Below are 23,956 nucleotides of genomic sequence, written 5' to 3' on the forward strand. Positions count from 1 at the left end.
AAAATGGAAGGTTTTTAAAAAGCATTGAAGAAAAATAACTGAGTTTAAGATTTAAATCCAATTAAATTAGCTTTAGACTGTGAGCACATTAAAAATACTCTTATGCAGGTAAGTCTTAGAAGATTTGACATAACCAAGATCTTCATCGAAAATACTTTTGGAACAATGTTAAATACAACAATTAGAAAATAAGATGGCAAAAATTCTGATGTAGCACTAGTTACAATAAATGTTAATTAGACATTAGCCAATTAAGACTCAGATTCTCAAGCTGTATTAAAAATTCTTTACAAGATGCATACTTGAAAGCAAAAATTGAAATAAAAGGGTGGCAACACAAGGCCGTTATGAACTAGAATAAAGCTGAGGTAATAGTCCAAATAGAATTTAATGCAAAATATGACACATTATACATTGGTTTTAAAAAATACAACAAAAACGAAAAGATACAAACCATCATTAACTTACATGCACTTGCAGCCTCAAAGTATATCAAGCACCAGCCTTGGCAACATACTAAGATCTTGTCTCTACAAAAAATAAAAATTAGCTGAGCATGGTAGCTCATGCCTGTAATCCCAGCTACTTGGGAGACTGAGATTGGAGGATCACTTGAGCTCACAAGGTTGAAATTGCAGTGAATTGTGATCGTGCCACTGCACTCCAACCTGGGTGACAGAATGAGACCATGTTTCACAAAGTTAAGTATATCAAGCAAAAACAGACAGCTGAAACAAAAATAGAAATGCCAACAATGTAGTTGAGGATCTTAATACGCCCCTTTCCCTCTCAACTGGAAGATAAAGCAGACAACAACAAAGCAGAGAGGAGAGTTACTGAAAACAGTACAATTAGCTTGAGCTAGTATTTATACAGAAGTCTACACAAGCTGGATGTGGGCACACGCACCTGGAGTCCCAGCTACTCAGGAGGCTGATGGGGGAGGATCGCTTGAGCCCCAACAGTTCAAATCTAACAAGACCCCATCTGTTTAATCATAACTAAAAATAAAAATAATAAAATAATAAAACCTCTACACAAAATAGAGTGATTAAAATAATTTACTGTTTTTCAGTAGGATGGTCCAAGAAGGCCTGTCTAATGAAATGAAATTTGAACAGATACCTAAATGAAGCCAGCTTTGCAGATCAGATATTTAGGGGAAGAGTGTTCCAGAAGGACTAGGAGGGGCAAAGGTCTTGAGGTGAGAATAGGTGACCTGGTGGCAATGTGTCACTTTTTTTTACAGCTTTATTGAGGTATAATTCATATTCAAATAACTGCACATATTAAATGTATGCAATTTGTTAAGTTTGGACATTTGCAAACACTGTGATGCCATCACCACAATCAAAGAAATAGACACATGCAGCACCTCCCAAAGTTCCCTCGTGTCCTTTTTGTTGTGGTAACAACACAACATGAAGTGTTCTTAACACTTAAAAAATTTGAAGTGCATAATATAATATTGTTCACTGTAGGCACTATGTTGTTCAGCAGATCTCTCAAATTTATTCGTCTATAGCATAAATGAAACTTTAACCCATTGAACAACTCCCCACTTCCCCCACTCCCAACCCCTGGCAACCATTGTATTCTCTGCTTCTATGAGCTTGACTATTACAGATAACATCATGTAAGTGGAATTATGTAGAATTTGTCCTGTGACTGGCTTATTTCACTTAGAATAATGTCCTCCATATTCATCCATGTTGGCATAAATGGCAGGATTTCACTCTTTTAAGGCTGATATTCCATTGATATATATGCCACATATTCTTCATTTATCTGTTGATGCACACTTGGGTTGTTTCCATATCTACTATCGCAGTGTGTCTTTTTTTTCTGTGATGGAGTCTTGCTCTGTCGCCCAGGCTGGAGTGCAGTGGCACGATCTCAGCTCACTGCAAGCTCCACCTCCAAGGTTCACGCCATTCTCCTGCCTCAGCCTCCCGAGTAGCTGGGACTACAGGCACCCACCACCACGCCTGGCTAATTTTTTTGTATTTTTTAGCAGAGATGGGGTTTCACCGTGTTAGCCAGGATGGTCTCGATCTCCTGACCTCATGATCCTCCCTCCTGGGCCTCCCAAAGTGCTGGGCTTACAGGCATGAGCCACCACGCCCGGCCTGCAGTGTGTCTTTTTAAGTTCCTTAATAGGCAGTAGAATGAAAACATTTGGACAGTAAATTTAAGTAACTAAGAAGCTTAGTATAAGAATTACAACGGATTTCAGTGCCTCCTGGCTCCTGTTCTCTGAGAGGATAGTCATGAGATCTGAGTTTTTCTATTGAGGATAGTCTCATTAATAGATTTGGTTAACAGCTTGTTAAAGAAAATTACTTTAATCCCTGATGGTAGGAAAAGCCGACTAGCCCTTTCTTCTTTCCCAGAATGTGTAGATGTTAGTTCTAGAACACAGGTGTCTGTTAATATTTTAGCAGCACTTTGTGACTTTACATCTTTAGGATAGCCATTGTGATAAGTGAAAGTTCTTTATCTTAAAGTAGCTAAAGTGGCTTCATAGCCCCTGAACGGGATCATATATTGGCTTCGGCTCAATCCCAGCCTCTGGGAGCCTGTGAACCTACGGCCATATGATCAACCTACCCTGTAGCTTATTCAGGACTACTCCCCTATCCCTTATCCTCCACCCCCTACTCCTAATCCACCAGGGATCTGTAGGGACTCATACTTCTGGCAGACCTGTGACCATCTCTGAGTTCCACTCAAGGCGTAAGCGCTCTCTGGTTCTCTTTCCTCTCCCATCCTCTCATCCCCATCTGTTGTTTTCTCTTCCTTAGGTCAGCCCCTCTCTATACTCTTTCCTTGTGTTCTTTGCAATTTACCCTCTAAAAATATTCAACTGCATGGCTTTGCCAGATGCAAATTCTTAATCTTCCTTGTACTAAATCTACGTTTTCACAGTTCCATACATCTTCTTTCTCTGCCTTCACCATTTCCGCTTATCTTTTAATTTTAACTGAAAATCGTAACGGATCTCTATCCATTATGCAGCCCTTTCAAGTGGAGACTGTTTATTCTCTCACCATCTCCCTGGAAAGAGCATTCAGAGCATTTCACTCTCCACCATTTCTAGCCCATCACTCTTCCAACATTGTACAAACAAATCCATGCTCCTTTGAGGATAATGCTATTGGGCTGTACTCTTGACATCTCTTTGTTGCTGTCATTTATACACTTCTCTGACTCACAGACTTTCCCTTCTCTCCAATCGTGCTGAAATTCCAGGTGGTTTCAGCATCTATTTGGTGCACCCACTCAACACTCTGGCCTCTCAGTTTCTTGATCTCCCTGGTATCAATACTTTTCATCTCCATCTGTTTTAGTCTGTTTTCTGTTGCTGTAATGGAATACCACAGACTGGGTAATTGATAAGGAAATTATAACCTCACTTCCCATTTAAACAAAAAATAGAAGCCATCAGATACAAATTCTTAATCTTCCCTGTACTAAATCTATAAACTTATTTCTGATTGCAGAATTTTTTCCTCCTTTCATCTTGTCACATTTTTCTTCCCCAAAAGGGTAATTTTCCCTGTGTTCTGAATTTCTTTCCCTCAGGTCTTAGGGTACTTACTTGGCTTGATCACATCCTGTACCATTTGTCTCTGCCTCTCTACTGGTTTCTTTCCATGAGCATTTTAAGCATGTTCAGAAAGGGCATCGTTTTGCAGTTTGTTTTCAAATCTTGCAAGGACATATGTGGGCTAGCAGTTGCCTGCTATTTGGGTGCCCTGTGATGACCACTTATTTAGCTTGATTGTAAGTTCTGTAAGGTCTCCAACCATGTCTGTCTTGAGTATAAATCACAGAGCTCAGCGCAAAATAAATATTCATAAATGTCATTGATGAACACTCACAGTCACTAAGTATTTTCTCTGATCTCTGATTTGCCTTCACCACTGCCCTGTGAAAGAGGTCATATTATCATCCCCATTTTCCATGACAGTCAGCTGATAGGATGTAAGCTTCTCTCAGGGCCACAGTTTCTTAGTACAAAGCAGGATCCAAACCCACTCCTTCTAATTTTGAATTGAGTGTTCCTTCCTCTCTGTCAGATGCTCAGTAATCATGCCGTGTCTTACTCATTTTCCTGGCCTTGTGTGTGTTTAAAGTCTTGTTTCCTCGACAAGAGGTTCTCTTTTTTTTTTTTTTCAATTCCCATTTATTTTTGGCTCTTGGGGCGATGTCATCTTTTCAGTATGAAAAAAAGCAGCAAGTTCAACACAAAATAGAAATCTCAAATGTAGGATAGAACAAAACCAAGTGTGTGGGGGGGGGGAAGCAACAGCAAAAGGAAGAAATGAGATGTTGTGAAAAAGATGGAGGAGGGTTCCCCTCTCCTCTGAGGATTGACTCAAACACTGATGTGGCAGTATACACCATTCCACAGTCAGGGATGTTCCTTCTTTTTAGGGGGTAAGAAAAAGTGGGGATTAAGAGGACATTTCTGGAGGCTTAGGGACCAAGGCTGGACTCTTTCCCCCACTCCTTGATCCCTTTCTCTGATCAGGGGAAAGGAGCTCGAGTGAGGGAGGTAGAGTTGGAAAGGAAAGGATTCCACTTGACAGAGTGGGACAGACACCTCCAAAGAGTAGAGCTTAGAGGGAGATTGAAAGTGGAGATAATACTGCTGACACCTCTCTTGAAGCTGAGATGGGAAATGGACATACTTAGAAATTAGTGACTTTAATAGCCTGGATTTCCCTCTCCAAAACTTTTAGAATGGAAAATCCCATCCCCTTCCTTATATAGTGACTTCTACCCACTGCCTTCTACCATCTTCTACTTTGGGCTTAGGATGGTGGCCATTATCTACATGGGTTTTCAGCACCTGGTTGGTTCTAAATGGCATCTGGATGAGACCCAGCTTCTTGGAGATTTTTAAGAGAGAAATATTAACTGGACAGATGGAAGGAATGGGCACCAGAAGGAAATACAGGGTCACCCAGAATGGCAGAAACCTAGGTTTCCCAGAGTGGAAAGAGAGAGGAGACATTCAACAAACAAGTATTTATTGAGTGCCTACTATGTGCCAGGCACTGTTCTAGACCTCCCCAGAAGAAAAAACAAAAAACAAGATAGAGGCAGCAAACACAAATTCTGAGGGAGAGGAAAGGGGCAGTTGAGTAAGATGGCTAAGGGAACTGAAAAGCCTGAGGTGATGGGGGCTCTGTCATAGGCCTCGTCTTCGGCCTCCTCAACAAAATCCTCCTCCTCTTCTGCGGTGGCATCCTGGTACTCTGATACTCAGAGACGAGGTCGTTCACGTTGCTCTCAGCCTCGGTGAACTCCATCTAGTCCATGCCCTCGCCTGTGTACCAGTGGAGGAAGGCCTTCCTGCCGAACATGGCAGTGAACTGCTCCAAGATGCGCTTGAAGAGCTCCTGGATGGCCGAGCTATTGCCAATGAAGGTGACTGCCATCTTGAGGCCACGAGGTGGGATGTCACAGACAGCTGTCTTGACGTTGTTGGGGATCCATTCCACAAAGTAGCTGCTGTTCTTGTTCTGCACGTTAAGCATCTGCTCATCGACCTCCTTCATGGATATCCGACCATGGAAGACAGCAGCCACGGTGAGGTATCGGCCGTGGCGGGGGTCACAGGCAGCCATCATGTTCTCAAAAAGAGGTTCTCTAAAGGCAGGGTCCAGGCTAAGCTCACAGCAGGTACTCATATTCTTTCCTAGGCTTTTATTTATACTTTTTTTATTTTCCAGTTAACACTTGGTTAGCATATGGTAATTGTTTTTCTGAAACTTTGAAGTGCGTGGTTAGTTCATTATTTCTCCACTGGAGGGCAAGCTTTCCAACTCAAATTTTACTTTTCTGATTCCTTGAGAATGAAAAGAAGGACCGTATGTTGACCAGAGTTGTTGTTTTAATTGTCTCAGGGAAATGAGATTGTTGCTGTGTGTTGGAAGTGTCTGTATTTCCTCCTTGTATAATATATAGATTTCTGATCCAATACATCCTGATCATTGCCTTCTGCAGAGGTTAAAAATCCCAGATACAGCCTTTGCTATGTGTAAAGCCCATGACCTGGCCAATGTGTCTGAGTGCAGTTTTGTGTGGGAGAGGGCCCTGATACAAGAGCGGAAAGAATGGGGACTGGTCGCAGGCAAGTCACACCCTCCCTGGCCCCTTATTCCTCGCCTGTAGCGTGAGGAGGGTTATCTAGGTAACAGCATCCCATGATTCTGGGCCCACAAACCAGAAGGCTCTGAGAGTCAAAGACTGTGTCAGACCCATTTTGATTACCCCACAAGTCCCCACCCTGCCACAGTTCACTGAGCCCTCAAGACAGAACAATCCTGTGACCAGATGTGCAGCTCTTTTCCACACATGAACCAATTCTCCAACACCAGCTGAGTGTCCTACAATTCAACTGAATCCTGACACTGTTTACCTGAAGTCAGCATCCGACCCCGCAGGTGAAGGGCTCAGTCCCACAAGACCATCCCCTCTTCAGATGCAGATCGCAAGTCCAGGCCTCTGCTCCTTCTGACCGACCAGCTATAAATCACGGCTTCCCATGACTCCTTCTTTGGGTTCCATCATTTGCTTGAATGGCTTACAGAACTCAGGGAAATAGTTATATTTCCCATTTATCATAAAGGATATTACAAAAGACACAGATGAAGAGATGCACAGAGTGAATTGTGTGGGAAGGGGCATGAGTTTCCCTGTCATCTCCGGGTGCCTCGCTCAACACTTCCAAGTGTTCAGCAACCTGAGAGCTCTCCAAACCCTGTCATTTTAGGTTTTTATGGAGGCTTCTTTACTAGGCATGATTGATCACATCCTTGGCATTAGTGATTAACTCAACCTTCAGTCCTCCCAGATCCCTGGAGGTGGAGGCTGGCTGAAAGTTCCACCCCTCTAATCATGTGGCTGGTAACCAGCGTTCCCCGCCCACCAGATGTCTCATTAGCATAAAGAAGACATTGACACAACACTTTAGAGATTTCAAGAGTTTTGGGAACTGTGTGCCAGGAAACGGAACAAAGAACGACTATTTATATTTCACAAAATCACAATCTCCAAGAGTTATGCCTGAGCAGCCATCTCCTAATTGAAGGAGTAGGATGACCAATCATGGTTCTGTGCACCGTTTAGTCAACTCAGCCCTCATCCTGGGCTGCTGTGTTTAGACAATGGGAGTTTTGAATATGGGACAAAAGTGAACCAAGCTTTTTAATGCAGCAGTGTGACTTGTTCCACATAGAAGAATATGGCAACCCTGTACATGCGAATTTAGCTTCCAACAGTTATCCTGCACATGGGGGTTCTGAGTTCCCCCTTGCATCCCCAGGTCTACCTCTTGGCTTTGCTGCAAGGCATCTATCTGTCTGCAGGTTCTGAGGAATGTGTCTCAGCACAACTGCCCATCCTCAGCTTCAGTCGCTGGGGGATCTGAGAGTCATGTGAACCTGACCCAGCCTCTCCCAAAAGTGATGATCATCCGCCAGTTTGCCAGGATAGCTGAGTAACTCATTCGGTGAGTTCTTAGCCACTCTTATCTTCCTCCATCATCACAGCTGGGGGAGAGGTTTAATTAGGAGCATGTTGTACCACTTTGGTGAGGGTCTCACCTGAGTTGGGGAGAGGCACCTGGAGTCAGAGTATACTTTGAGAGCATCATAAGATTCTGATCTGTTTATCTCTACTTACAAGAGGAGTCATTTTGTTAGCAGAAATGATAACTGTATTTTCCAAACAGGGAAATAAAAAAGAATTTTTTTAAAAAAGAAAAAATGATAACTACCTTATCTACATAATGTGAAATGGCAACCATTGACAACAAACAAAATAAGAGAACTAAGCAAGATTGTCTGTTGGTGACTTCCAGTAATATTAATTTGTACTTTTTTCTCCCCTCATTTATGAGCACATACATTGTAGCAGGAATAAAAGCTTCAGGAATATTTTGCGGCAGAAAAAGTTGAAATGGAAAAAAACATCATTAGTTGCTTATTTCCCACCAATAGAGTAAGGCTGCCATTATTCCATTTCATTGGCAAACGTTTGTATCTAGCTGAAAACCTTCCCAGACCCTCCAGGAGCAGAGATTGAGGACCACTGCATTAAACCTTTAAGGCTGGTCTGCTGCCTCTGATGGAGTTAATCTGCTTCACATATGTGTTGAGCTACCTTACAGCACTTATATACCTCATTTCTGGCACACTAACTTGCTGGGGCGTTATCTGGATTCATGTCTTATCACTGTGACTGGACTGTAAGCTCCTTGAGCCAGGGTGAGCGACACTGCCTGGCTTTGGATTCCTTTTCTGCCACTTAACAGAGGTGTTATCTTTGGCATGTTAGTGAATCTCTCTGTTACTGGAAAGGGTTCCGGATCCAGACCCCAAGAGAGGGTTCTTGGATCTTCCACAAGAAAGAATTTGAGGAAAGTCCACAGAGTAAAGTGAAAGCAAGTTTATTAAGAAAGTAAAGAAATAGGGAATGGCTACTCCATAGATAGAGCAGCCCTGAGAGCTCCTGGTTGCCCATTTTTATAGTTATTTCTTGATTATATGCTAAACAAGGGGTGAATTATTCATGCCTCCCCTTTTCAGACTATATAGGGTAACTTCCTGATGTTGCCATGGCATTTGTAAATTGTCATGGTGCTGGTGGGAGTGTAGCAGTGAGGATGACCAGAGGTCAGTCTCGTCACCATCTTAGTTTTGGTGGGTCTTAGCTGGTTTCTTTACTGCAACCTGTTTTATCAGCAAGGTCTTTATGACTTGTACCTTGTGCCAACCTCCAATCTCATCCTGTCACTCAGAATGCCAAACTGGCTGGGAATGCAGCCCAGCAGGTCTCAGCTTTATTTTACCCAGCCCCTGCTCAAGATAGAGTCACTCTGGTTCAAACGCCTCTAACATCTCTATGCCTCAGTTTCCTTATCTACAAAATAGGGCACTGGTATACCTTCTTCATAGGACTGCAGTGAGGACTAAACGTATGTAAAGCACTTCAATTGCCATCATCATTGTTATTATTCTTTTTGTATCTCCACCTCACCTTGCCAGGGCTCTGGCATCCTACAAGGACTTGGGATCCTAATGGATTCTACAGATCAAGGTGGATTTCCATTGTGCCTTGAGTTATTATTATTTTTTTAGACAATAGGAACTCTGTGGCTAGCCCCTCTCCTGGGACCTCTGAGGCCTCTAGTGCTCTAATACCCAGAAGGAAACTGAACGCTGTGAGAACATCTCCGGGAGTTTAAGAAACCCATAACCGGGCCCTTCACAGAGATTATTTTTTTTCTTAATTATCAGTGTGTAGTAATGGTCTAACTATATTCCATAAGCCAACTAAAGAAAACAGGTTTACAAAGTCTAGCAATTCTACCAACACCCTACATTAAACTGTAGAGAGAAATACTCTAAAAGATGATGATCAGAGGTTTGGATTTACTTGGCCTGGGATAGAAGCTGGGCAATGACATTTCTTTTAAAAACCAGTGTGGCCCTGGCAGAGAACCAGTGTTTGGCTCTGGGACAGTGATTCTCCATGCTGGCTGCACATTCTAATCTCTTGAAGTGAGTTAAAAAATATACATCATGCTCAGGACTCTCCCTCCAGATATTCTGATTCAATTGATCTGACCAGGGTGGGACCTGGGTGTAGTTTGTTTTTAAAAGCTCCTCCGGGGTTCTAATGTGCAGCTGGGACTGAGACTCTCTTCTCTGGGAGGTGACAAGATAGGAGATGAAGAGCTTGCAGAGGGTGAAGAGGCTGTGTTGGGTTGGGGGTTAGTAGCAGGAGGATCAAGGGAGACCATTCACTGCTGTATTTGAAAGCAGCATCTTCCTAGTTCTTGAATCTCTTCCCAGCACATGATCTGAGACTAGGGCATGGAGGAAAGAACACAGGTTTTGGAGTAAGATGGGTTTGGTGCTGCCCTTCAAGTTGGATAACTTTGGGCAAGTCATTTATCCACTGTGTCTCCTGGGTGATGCAGTTAGAATTTGGTCTGATTGTAGTCCATCTGGCAGCATTCTGTACTTAGGAGCTGTTATCCTTAGTTTAGTAAGGATTTGAGCCTCTTTTTTAAAATTTTTATTTATTTATTTATTTGAAAGGTAGCTGGTTAGAACCTTCTGAGCCCAAGGAGGCAATTGCATCTTAAAAGCAATTTGTTTATGGGCTGGATGTTGCAATCAGAGGCTCCAGATGGGTCCTCCCACAGCCCCAAAGGCCCCTGACAGTGTTTCCTGAACCAAAGACCAAAGAGCCAGACTAAACCTCAAAAAGCATATGAAAAATCATGAATGTTTAAGCTGGGTGCGGTGGTGTGTACCTGTAGTCCCAGCTATTCAGGAAACTGAGGTGGGAGGAAGCCTTGATCTCAAGAGTTCAAGGCCAGCATGGGCAACATAGCAAGACCTCCATCTCTAAAAAAAAATTGTGAATGTGTATATAAAAAGATAAAGATAAAAATTCAATGGCTTTAGGTAACATTTCATAATTTTTCTTTCTTTCTTTCTTTTTTAGACAGGATCTCACTCCTGTAGCCCAGGCCAGAGTGCAGCGGCACGATCGCGGCTCACTGCAGCCTCAACTTCCCGGGCTCAGGTGATCCTCCTGTCTCAGCCTCCGGAGTAGCTGGGACTACAGACACGCACCACCACACCCAGCTAATTTTTTGTATTTTTAGTAGAGATGAGGTTTCACTATGTTGCCCAGGCTGGTCTCAAACTCATGGTCTCAAGTGATCCACCCACCTCAGCCCCCCAAAGTGCTGAGATTACAGGTGTGAGCCACTGCGCCTGACCATAATTTTATTTTAATGCAAAGATGTGCATATTTCATATTTTGATACAAAATTTGATCATCTAAAACTAGAGCCAGTCTGGAAACTTCAAGCCAGGCATTCTAAGCTTTTGTATCTTTAGATTTCTCATAGCACTTAGGTGCTCAGAAAATAAAAAAAAAGAAATCAGATTCAGAGATATGGGGAAATAGGTAAAAATCTAGTCTGTTGCTCTCTCATACCTATAGTCTCTATTGTTTGAAATATGAAATATAAATGATCTATTGCTATTATAATACTTCTTTCCTTTCTCATTTATTTATTTATTTATTTATTTGAGACAGGGTCTCCTTCTGCCACCCAGGCTGCAGTGCAGTGGCACAATCACAGCTCACTATAGCCTCGACCTCCCGGACTGAAGCAGTCCTTCTGCCTCAGCCTCTCAAGGAGCTGAGACCACAGGTGCACGCCACCATGCTTGGCTCATTTTTTGCAGAGACGGGGTTTTGCTGTGTTGCCCAGGCTGGGCTCAAGGGATCCACCCGCCTTGGCCTCCCAAAGTGCTGGGATTACAGGCAGGAGCCACTGCGCTCAGGCTCATTCCTCATTTCCTACTGGTCTTCAGAGTTGTCATTACCACTCTCCAAATTCACCCTGTTCAGTACATACTATGAAATCCTCAAAATGAGCTTGGAGGGTCCTGATTCATAATGGGGACCATTACAAGTATGGCTACGCAGGGGATAGGCTACTTTTGCTCTCTACTTTTTAAAAAGAATATTTTTAAAATGGTGTAGCTAGCTCCACTTCCACTGCTGCAGTGATACAGGCATACAATGTCTAACTAGATTTTAAGGGCAAGAAAGCATGGCACAAAAGATGAGGTAGCCAGCTGTAGCTGTAGGTAGCTGTACCTACCTCATCTCTTGTGCCATGCTTTCTTGCCCTTAAAATCTAGTTACACATTGTATGCCTGTATCAAAACATCACATGTACCCCATAAGTACATACAACTATTATGTACTCATAATAATTAAAAATTAAATTTTTTTTTAAAAGAGTAAAATAATCTAGTTGGAAGAGGTGAAGGGAAAAGGTGAGAAGTAGTGTAGGAGTGTCGATCACACCTGGGGGTGTGGGTGGGAGGAGGTGGCTTAAGTCAGGGCATGTGGTGTAGAGGAAAGAAGTCACAAGAGTGAGGCTGTGACTTACACTCAGTCTTGTATAATCACTTAGTGTCTTTTGCTTGGCATTTCTCATGAGTAAAATGTTCATGGTAAAGGGCAGCGTAGAGAAAAAACGTAGAGAAGTATATACAAGAAGAAATATATGCTGGTAATTTTTTTTATTATTATACTTTAAGTTCTAGGGTACATGTGCACAATGTGCAGGTTTGTTACATAGGTATACATGTGCCATGTTGGTTTGCCGCACCCCTCAACCCGTCACCCACATTAGGTATTTCTCCTAATGCTATCCCTCCCCCAGGCCCCCACCCCCCAACAGCCCCTGTGTGTGATGTTCCCCATTCTGTGTCCAAGTGTTCTCGTTGTTCAGTTCCCACTTATGAGTGAGAACATGCGGTGTTTGGTTTTCTGTCCTTGTGATAATTTGCTCAGAATGATGGTTTCCAGCTGCATCCATGTCCCTGTAAAGGACATGAACTCATCCTTTCTTATGACTGCATAGTATTCCATGGTATACATGTGCCACATTTTCTTAATCCAGTCTATCATTGATGGACATTTGTGTTGGTTCCAAGTCTTTGCTATTGTGAATAGTGCCGCAACAAACATACGTGTGCATGTGTCTTTAGTGTAGCCTGATTTATAATCCTTTGGGTATACACCCAGTAATGGGATCACTGGGTCAAATGGTATTTCTCATTCTAGATCCTTGAGGAATCGCCACACTGTCTTCCACAATGATTGAACTAATTTACACTCCCACCAACAGTGTAAAAGCATTCCTATTACTCCACATCCTCTCCAGCATCTGTTGTTTCCTGACTTTTTAATGATCGCCATTCTAACTGGTGTGAGATGGTATCTCATCGTGGTTTTGATTTGCATTTCTCTGATGACCAGTGATGATGAGCATTTTTTCATGTGTCTTTTGGCTGCATAAATGTCTTCTTTTGAAAAGTGTCTGTTCATATCCTTTGCCCATTTTTTGATGGGGTTGTTTGTTTTTTTCTTGTAAATTTGTTTAAGTTCTTCATAGATTCTGGATGTTAGCCCTTTGTCAGATGGGTAGGTTGCAAAAATTTTCTCCCATTCTGTAGGTTGCCTGTTCACTCTGATGTTAGTTTCTTTTTGCCATGCAGAAGCTCTTTAGTTTAATTCGATCCCATTTGTCAATTTTCGCTTTTGTTGCCATTGCTTTTGGTGTTTTAGTCATGAAGTCCTTGCCCATGCCTATGTCCTGAATGGTATTGCCTAGGTTTTCTTCTAGGGTTTTTATGGTTTTTGGTCTAACATTTAAGTCTTTAATCCATCCTGAATTAATTTTTGTATAAGGTGTAAGGAAGGGATCTAGTTTCACACGCTGGTAATTTTTAATTTTTTTTTGTGACACTGTCTTGCTCTGTCACCCAGGCTGGAGCACAGTGGCGTGATCCTAGCTCACTGCAGCCTCAACCTCCTGGACTCAAGCGATCTTCCTGCCTCAGCCTACAGAGTAGCTGAGACTACAGGTGCATACCACCACTCTCAGCTAATTAAAAAAATTTTTTTTTGTAGAGATGGGGTCTTGCTATGTTGTCCAGGCTTATCTCAAACTCCTGGGCTCAAGCAATCCTCCTGCCCCAGCCTCCTAAAGTGTTGGGATTACAGGCATGAGCCACCATGCCCGACCTGGTAAATGTTTAATAACTGACTCTGGGGGTGTGTAGGGGATAGGAGGGGAGAAAGCCCTGCTAGGGAGAATTTGCTGGTTTTGTGCTAAAAATACTGCACATCCGGCCAATTTCCAGCTGCCAGCAACAAATGGGTATGTTGACTCTTGGCTGAACGCATGAGAGATCTCTTAATTTCCCAAAGGAAAAGGGGTCAGGGTGGGAAGGAACAGTACAGAATACTTATAATGTGAACACCCACATTTGAGATATTTGAAACTAGAGGGTTGGGGACTTTGGTGATGGGCTATGGAGCCATTCCTGTCTTTTTTTTTTTTTTTTTTTTTTTTTTTTTTTTTGAGACAGTCTCACTCTGTCACCCAGGCTGGAGTGCAGTGGTGCGAGCTCAGCTCCCTGCAACCTCCGCCTCCCAGGTTCAAGCAATTCTTGTGCCTCAGCCTCCCGAGTAGCTGGGACTACAAGCTAATTTTTGTATTTTTAGTAGAGATGGGGTTTTACCATCTCTACTTCCTCGTAAAACAATCTTTTTTGATTAACTGCTCCAACCTAACTCATTCTGATCACCTGTCCCACCCTAACTCATTCCGATCACCTGCTCCACCCTAACTCATTCCAGTTGCTACCTGCTCTGCCCTGACTCCCGCCAAAGCACTCACCCCGTCATTCTCTTTAAATTAGCCAATTGGAATTAGTTTAGCCTGTGCGGTCTAACCCTGGCCGATAGAGGAACGGCACGGCAGCAGGGCCCATGTGCCTCAGGGATAAGAACCCCTTTCCCTCCCTTGTCCAGGTGTGTACTCACCATTGCTCCATCTGTAAGGGCGCATTCTTCTATAGAAGTACCTTGCCTTGCTGAGAATTAAAAGAAAATTTTATACTCGAGTGCTATTTCTTTGGGGCACTGAAACTTTATATATAACAACTGGGAAGAAAAAGATGTTTAATTGGATTTACAGTTCCACATGGCCGGGGAGGCCTCAGAATCATGATGGAAGGTGAAGGGCACTTCTTTCATGGTAGCAGCAAGAGAAAAATGAGGAAGATACAAAAGAAGAAACCCCTTACAATACCATAAGATCTCATGAGATTTGCTCACTACCACAAGAACAGTATGGAGGAAACCACCCACATGATTCAAATTATCTCCCACTGGGCTCCTCCTACAACACATGTAAATTATGTGAGTACAATTGAAGATGAGATTTGGGTGGGGACACAGAGTCAAACCATATCAGATGTCATGCCTCAGGAAGCCTCTCTTACGAAATGCTTAGCTTGATGTGTGCTTCCTCTCCCTTGCCAGGCAGTGAGGTTCTAGATGCAGGTTCTTAGATCCCCTCATGCATCTATACCCCTCAACATCCTCACTGTGGCCATGGGAGGGACTCAGTAGTTCTTCATGGCATGAGTGGGCTTGTGGTTTTTCAGGGAGATTACTCTTGGTGAGGGTTTTCCATTCCCTCCTTTCTGCAGCCCAGGATGGCCTTGGTTGCAGAAAGTATCTACCAGTAGAGGCTGGGGAGGGGAAGACAGTGGGACAGGCTGAAGCCACCATACTGCCTCTGGGAAGGCTGATCATTTGGTGATGTGTTTGGATTTCCATGCTTTCAGCTTTTTGGTTTGGATTCTCTGTGCTTTTAGGTTTTTTCTCCTATTATGGATAAAACCAAATTCTCCAAGCTTTGAGAGAAACTTGGAAGTGGTTGTCAGAGGTTGTGTCTTCAGGAGTGGAATGGATTCAGATTCTGCTGGGAAAATTTGCCAAGGCTGATCTGTCAGGACAGCCATTGAGACCCACAGCAGGTGTATGGGAGTGGTTGCCAAACTGTGTGCAGCGCAGTCACCAAATTGGATGGGGGATATCTCCCCCAGGGTATTCTTATGTGGCTCAGGCCTCCATCCATATTCTGGGGAGCACTGCTTGTGCATCAGATTCTCTTGAAGTAGCAAGAGCACCCAGAGGACACTGACTTTTCCATATGCTTACCCCATGTTGGCCTGCCTTCTGTCTACTGTAGCACAGAATCCTCAAACCACCCATTAGGAAAAGATTGTCTCTGCTGAGCAAACAAGGTTCAATGAGGCTGAGAAACTTGCCCAGATTCAGACAATAAGTGGCGAGCCTGAGATTCAAACCCATGCTGGGCCGCCTCTCCAGCCCAGGCTCTTTCCTTTAGTGCACATGCCAGTGTTACAGAGAATTGTTTCCCAAAAGGAGGGACCCATGCTTAGTGCCGTGGGGACCTGGCCCTAATTCACATGAAATCATTTAGTGAGACAAGCATCCTTTCTAATTCCCGCTTTCAATCCTTCTCACTGGAAATAGTTTGGTGATAGTGTATCCCTAATGCCTCCCTAACTGTTAGGGATTAGGCATCCCTAATGCCTTCCATAGTCATTTGCAGCTCTAACTAAAATCTTACAGTGGTTTTTTTTGTTCTTCTCACTGCAACCTGCACCTCCCAGGCTCAAGCAATCCTCCCATTTCGACCTCCCAAGTAGCTGGGACCACAGGCACACGCCATGACGCCTGGCTAATTTTTGTATTTCGTTGGTAGAGACAGGGTTTTGCCATGTTGCCCAGGCTGGTCTTGAACTCCTGGGCTCAAGTTATCTGCCCACCTTGGCCTCCCAAAGTGCTGGGATTACAGGCATGAACCACCACCCCCGGCCACAGTGTTGTTTTTTAGTATTTATATTCTCTTCTTTTTATGGCATATTATATTCATTTTACATTCATAGTAGTGCTATAAAGTTTTCTTCAAAATATTTTTTACATGAAAAAGATTAGTTGAATTAAGGAAAAATTAGGTAAATAAAAGTATAAGTTCAACCAATAGTACTGGGTTAACTAGACAACCACATGTAAAGGAATGAAGTTAGATTCTTTCCTCGTATCACAAATAAAAATTAACTCAAAATTAGATCCAAATATATGAGCTAAAACTATTAGGACTCATAGAAGAAAACATAGGAGTAAATTTTGAGACCTTGGGTTAGGCAACAGTTTCTTATATATGAAGCACAAGCAACAAAAATGTATACATTGGATTTCATCAAAAGTAAGACTTTTCCATCCTGGCTAACACAGTGAAACCCCGTCTCTACTAAAAATACAAAAAATTAGCCAGGCGTGGTGGCAGGCACCTGTAGTCCCGGCTACTTGGGAGGCTGAGACAGGAGAATGGCATGAACTCGGAAGGCGGAGCTTGCAGTGAGCGGAGATCGCACCACTGCACTCCAGCCTGGGCAGCAGAGCGAGACTCTGTTTCAAAATAAATAAATAAATAAATAAATAAATAAATAAATAAATAAATAAAAGTAAGACTTTTGTGGTGCAAATGATCCTGTTTTAGTCCATTCTTATACTGCTATAAAGAACTACCTGAGACTGGGTAATTTATATAGGAAAATCAGTTTAATTGACTCACAGTTCCGCAGAGCTGGGGAGGCCTCAGGAAACTTACAATCATAATGGAAGGCAAAGGAGAAGCAAGGCACATCTTACGTGGCAACAGGAGAGAGAGAGAAAGAGAGAAAGCAAGGAGGGAACTGCCATACACTTTTAAACCATCAGATCTTGCGAGAACCCATTCATTATCATGAGAACAGCATGGGGGAAACCACTACCATGATCCAATCACTTCCCACCAGGTCCCTCTCCTGACACATGGGGATTACAAATTAAGATGAGATTTGGGTGGAGACACAGAGGCAAACCTTATCAGATGCCATCAAGAAAATGAAAAGACAACCCATAAGATGGGATAAAATATTTGCAAGCTATGTATCTAATATGGGACCTGTACTCCAAATATATAAATAATTCTTACAACTCAATCATAAAAAGAAAAATAACTCAATTAACAAATGGGCAAAGGCCAGGCACGGTGGCTCATGCCTGTAATCCCAGCACTTTGGGAGGCCGAGGTGGGTGGATCACGTGGTCAGGAGTTCGAAACCAGCCTGGCCGACATGGTGAAACCCCGTCTCCACTAAAAATACAAAAAATTAGCTGGGCATGGTGGCGTGCACCGGTAATCCCAGCTACTCGGGAGGTTGAGGCAGGAGAATCGCTTGAACCCGGGAAGCGGAGGTTGCAGTGAGCCAAGATAGCGCCATTGCACTCCAGCCTGGGTGACGGAGCGAGACTCCATCTCAAAAAACAGACAGACAAACAAACAAACAACAGCAACAACAACAACAAAAAAACCAAATGGACAAAGGATCTGAATAGATGTTTCTCCAAAGAAGATAGATATACAAAAGGCTAATTAATAATCATATTAAAAGATGCTTGATGTCACCAATCTTCAGGGAAATAAATGAAAACCAAAATGAGATGCCACCTCACAACAACTGGGATGGCTATAATAGAAAAGACAAATAATAAGTATTGGCAAAGCTGTGGAGGAACTGGAACCCTTATACATTGCCGGTGGGAATGTAAAATGGTGCAGCCACTTTGACAAACAGTTTGGCAGTTCCACAAAATGTTAGTCAAAGAGTGATCATTTAACCTAGTAAATGCACTCCTAGTGAAATGAAACATAACGTCCACACAAAAACTTGAACACAAATGTTTATAGCAGCATTATTCATAATAACTGCATAGTGGAAATAACACAAGTTTCCAACACCTGATGGATAGATAAATAAAATGTGATATATCCATATAATAGAATATTATTTGGCAATAAATAGGATTGAAGTACTGATACATGCTAAAATATGGATGAACCTTGAGAACATTATTTAAGTGAAAGAAGCCTGTTACAAATCATATGAATCATTTGTATGAAATATCTGCAATAGGCAAATCTGTGGAGACAAAAGTGGATTAATCACTCCTCAGAGTTGAGGGGTGTGTGTATAGAACCGGGTGTGAAGAATCGGGAGCAGCTGCTAAGAGATCCGAACTTTCTTCTGTGGGGAATAAAAATGTTCTAAAATTAGATTATGGGCTGGGCAAGGTGGTTCACCCCTGTAATCCCAGCACTTTGGGAGGCCGAGTCGGGTGGATTGCTTGAGTCCAGGAGTTCAAGACCAGCTTGGGCAATGTGGCAAAACCCTGTTTCTACAAAAAATATAAATATCAGCCTGGCATGATGGTGCACGCCTGTAGTCCCAGCTACTCAGGAGGCTGAGGTGGAAGAATCGTTTGAGCCCGGGAGGTCAAGGCTGTAGTAAGTTGTGACGGTGCCACTGTACTCCAGGCTAGGTGACAGAGCAATACCCTGTCTCAAAAATAAATAAAATAAAATAAAATAAAACTAGATTATGGTGATGGTTGCAGAACTCTGTGAATATGCTAAAAAACCTTGAATTGTGCACTTTAAATGAGTGAGTTCTATCTTAATACAGCTGTTAAAATAAAAGTACTAAGCAGATATAAGGAAGCTCATAAAGAGAGTACAGCAGTGCCCAAAATGCTGGGAAACTCTGAATTGGAGCGTGACATTCCTCAGGGCATCTCGTGTACCTCTCTGGAGACAAACTGTCTGTATGTGTTTCCTTTCTATTCTCTGTTGTGTTACTCATAGTCACAAGTAAATCAATCCAATTTTGGCCTAGACTGGTAGCTGTATTACTCAATCAGATTAAAAATATAAGAGCAAAATATAGGTTGGCTTATGAAATGAGTGGTAGAGGTGCTGATGGATGCAAAAGAAGGAATCTAAAATACACGCTGGGCCAGTGCCTGAATGGAAGGAGGAAATTTATGTCATGAGAGAGGTTCATGTGCCACTTCACGCTCCGAGTGTTCCCATCTGTAAATACAGAGCCCGATCTGCTTCTCACTGTGTGCAGAGAAAAACAGAAGCAGTAGGGGCTGGCCTCATGGCTGGCACCCTCAAGTATCTCTGCAAATCAATGTGCCTAAGAGAGTTGTTTTTTATTTTTCTTGAGAGGAAGTCTCACTCTGTTGTCCAGGCTAGAGTGCAGTGGCATGAACTCGGCTCACTGCAGCCTCCACCTCCCAGGTTCAAGCAATTTTCCTGTCTCAGCCTCCTGAGTAGCTGGGATTACAGGTGCACTCCACCACGGCGGGCTAATTTTTGTATTTTTAGTAGAGACTGGGTTTCACCATGTTGATCAGGCTTGTGACTATATTATATATAATATATATTACATGTAATTATATATTATATATAATATATATTATGTTATATTTAATATTATATATTATATTCAATATTATATATTTATATATAATATGTTATACATAATATATTATCATATATTATATATTAATAGATATATAATATATAATATAACATCTATAATAATATATAATGTAATATATGATATTCAATATTATATATAATATTAATATATAATATTATATATAATATTAATATATAAAATATAATATTAATATATAAAGTATATAATATATAATATATAAAATATATATTATATTTATAATATATAATATATATTTATTATATATATTTATAATATATAATTATATTATATATTAATATAACATAATATAATATATTATATTATATATTAATATAACATAATATAATATATTATATTTATTATATTATATTTATAATATAATATATATTTAATATATTATATAATATATACTATATATTTAATATATTATATAATATATAATATATTATATTTATAATATAAATATATCATATTTATTTATATTTATAATATATATTTATAATACGTAATATATATTTATAACATATATTTATAATACATATTATATATTTATAATACATAATATTATATATTTATAATACATAATATTATATATTTATAATACATAATATTATATATTTATAATATATAATATTATATATTTATAATATATATATAATATATACTATTATATTCATAATATATATAATATATAATATTTATATAATATTATATTTTTATAATATATAATATATATTATATATTTATAATATATATAATATATAATATGTATAATATATATATTTATAATATAAAATATTGTATACTTATAATATATATATTATAATATATAATATTATATATTTAAATATATATATTTATATATATTTCTATATTTATATAAATATATTTATATTTATATATGAATATATTTATATTTATATATGATTATATTTATATATATGAATATATTTTTATATATGAATATATTTATATATGAATATATTTATAATATATATATAATATATACTATTATATTCATAATATATATAATATATAATATTTATATAATATTATATTTTTATAATATATAATATATATTATATATTTATAATATATATAATATATAATATGTATAATATATATATTTATAATATAAAATATTGTATACTTATAATATATATATTATAATATATAATATTATATATTTAAATATATATATTTATATATATTTCTATATTTATATAAATATATTTATATTTATATATGAATATATTTATATTTATATATGATTATATTTATATATATGAATATATTTTTATATATGAATATATTTATATATACATATATTTATATATTTATATTTATATATATTTATATTTATATATAAATATATTTAATATTATTTATATGTATACATATTTATATATAAATATATTTATATTTATATAAATATATTCATATTTATATATAACATATTTATATATACATATATTTATATATGTACATATATACATATATTTATATATTTATATTTTTATATTTATATATTTATATTTATATATAAATATATTTAATATTATTTATATATATACATACTTATATATAAATATATTTAATATTATTTATATATATATACATATTTATATATAAATATATTTATATATATAAATATATATTTATATTTATATAAATATATTTATATATATCTATATATATAAATATATTTTTATATAAATATATATAAATATATATTTATATAAATATATTTATTTATATAAATATATATTTATATTTATATATATACTTAAATATATTTATATTAATATATATTTATATTTATATATATTTATATTTGTATATAAATTTATATTTATATATATATTTATATTGATATATAAATATATTTATATTGATATATAAATATATTTATATAATAGATATTTTAATATATAATAATAAATATATATTATATTATATTATATTATATATTATATATAATGTAATAATAAATATAAAATATATATAAATATATAATATATAAAATATATTATATATATTAAAAGAATGGTTTCAGCACAAAAATCAGTACACTGGAGTTGTATGTATAAGAAACGCTAGCATATTAAGTAGGAAGCCTTCTTGGGGTGCCTGCCTGGGACTACCTGCCTCGTCTTTGGGCACTGTTTGGATCATGCACTCTCGACTCATTATGATGGGCAGCAAGCCTGGTGACACCACCTCCCTGGCCGCAACTGATTGCACCAGGGGGAGCTCTCTAGTCCACATTAGGCCAATCAGATCCTCTTTCCAGGAATTTGGGACTGGGAATTAAAGTAGTGGATTCCCTAAAATATTTTTGGGGTGACTTTTAAACTTCTTCATTTTAAGCATATAGGATTAATAGCAAAAGAGGTGATTTCCTGGGTTCCACATATACTTACATTTTAAAATAAAATAATTACATCACTCTTTATCCATATCCAGTGGAGTCTCAATTCATCCATTAAATCCACCCATTCATCATCCTTAAAAAAAAAAAAAAACCAAGCACTTTATTAACAGCTTGGTTACACACATGTAATTGTATGGTTTTGAGTTATTTTCTTAGTATTGATTTCTATTTTTACTGTGCTGTGATCTGAGAATGTGGTTGGTATGATTTCAGTTTTTTTGAATTACAATAGGACATGTCACATTATTTTTTCTCCTTAAACCTATAGTTCCACTCCAAATTCTCCGTTTGTTTAATTGATCACAATTACATGGTTCTCCAGAATGAAAATTCTCATGTAAACTGAAATTAGAAATTTAAATTTTTTCAGTGGCCATAAGACTCTAAGCATGTTAAAAACAAGTTAAATATACTACATATTTTCATAAATATTCAACGTAAAAGTAAAATTTTATTGGCCTTTTAAACTTTTAGTTCATGTATCCAATGATTAAATATTACATACTGATGACTATCACTTATTCCTATTATCCCTATTTTTACAGAGATATAGCTGTAATCAATACATATTAATTAACTTAATTCCAATAAATATGCAAAAAAGGTAACTACATGAGATGATGACTATGTTAATTTACTTGACTGTGGTAACCACTTCATTATATTAAAACATCCCATGTTGTCAACCTTAAATATCTGCAGTAAAACAATTTTTAAGTATATATTAAAAATCAATCAATAAAAAGGCAGAGAAGATTAGAAGTAATTTGTATATCAATATCATTCAATAATTTAAAACTTTTCTCAATTTTATGCCAAAAATTATGGAGTGATGTCCATCAAACGCCTTTTATTAAAAAGTCTATCTGTGGACAACTTGAGTAGCGCCTTCTTCAATTTTGACAGAAGCAATGAAGTGGACGTGTCCTGACTTGCCTGGTAGCCGAGGCTTCAGTGTCCCACCCACCTCCTATCGGCAGTGCTCATATCAGGACATGCTGTTGGGTGTCTGACTGTAAATACACATGTCTGTCCCCGGGAGAGCTTCCCCTTTGCCTGAGTGTGAGGGAGACGAGGGGCAGGGAGGTAATGCCCTGGGACCAGCCCTAGGTGGATGACAAAGGAGATCTGGAGAATAAACACCCCAGCTTCCCAGCCTGTCAGGTGGGATAGCCTTGAGTGCTCCACAGCAGCTCCCAGAGTCTCCTACCTGAGCTCAGGCCCAGCCTCTCACAGTGGTAATGTGCTCAGTAAGGCACTCTGTACCAGCTTCCTTCTCTTCACAGTCACTTCCGGCTCCCCTCTGGTGCCTCCTGGGATTGTCACAGGATCCTTAGGATGTCGCTTCACCAGCCGGAAACCTCTGTGGCCAGTGGCACCTCTGCTTGAGTTTTGCTTGCACCCACTGGGTTTGTTCTGCCGACTCGGCCCGTCAGGCTGCACTTGGCTTGTGCTACCAGCCTGGATCCCACTCCTGCCAAAGTCAAGCCAGGCACAGAGAGGCAGGGAGTGTGTGAATGAGCAATCACAGGGTCTGGCCACTGTGCACAGCCAGGTGTGCCAGCTGCAGCAGGGTGGGCAGCTCCAGGCACTGGCACAGGCAGTGCCTTTGTGCGAGGCTACGGCTGGACCAGACATACTACAAGCGGCTTCTGCTTGTATCCAGACTAGTGTCTGGGCAAGG

The 23,956-nt window shown here is 39.3% G+C and overlaps 1 pseudogene, besides 3 other annotated features; it reads right to left on the minus strand.

Moving 5' to 3' along the window:
- TUBBP2 (tubulin beta pseudogene 2) lies at positions 4,174–5,568 on the minus strand (annotated as a pseudogene).
- Positions 22,775–23,310: an enhancer, noted in NCBI's record as "H3K27ac-H3K4me1 hESC enhancer chr13:41976419-41976954 (GRCh37/hg19 assembly coordinates)". NCBI's record gives its function as "activates a minimal SCP1, AML or CMV promoter by ChIP-STARR-seq in primed H9 embryonic stem cells {active_cell/tissue: H9 hESC(primed)}" and the evidence as "EXISTENCE:reporter gene assay evidence [ECO:0000049][PMID:30033119]".
- Positions 22,775–23,399: a biological region, named in NCBI's record as "Sharpr-MPRA regulatory region 5068".
- Positions 23,105–23,399: an enhancer, noted in NCBI's record as "tiled region #5068; HepG2 Activating non-DNase unmatched - State 4:PromP". NCBI's record gives its function as "activates a minimal TATA promoter and a strong SV40 promoter by Sharpr-MPRA in HepG2 cells {active_cell/tissue: HepG2}" and the evidence as "EXISTENCE:reporter gene assay evidence [ECO:0000049][PMID:27701403]".

This window comes from Homo sapiens, chromosome 13 (assembly GCF_000001405.40).
Source record: "Homo sapiens chromosome 13, GRCh38.p14 Primary Assembly".
NCBI lineage: Eukaryota > Metazoa > Chordata > Mammalia > Primates > Hominidae > Homo > Homo sapiens.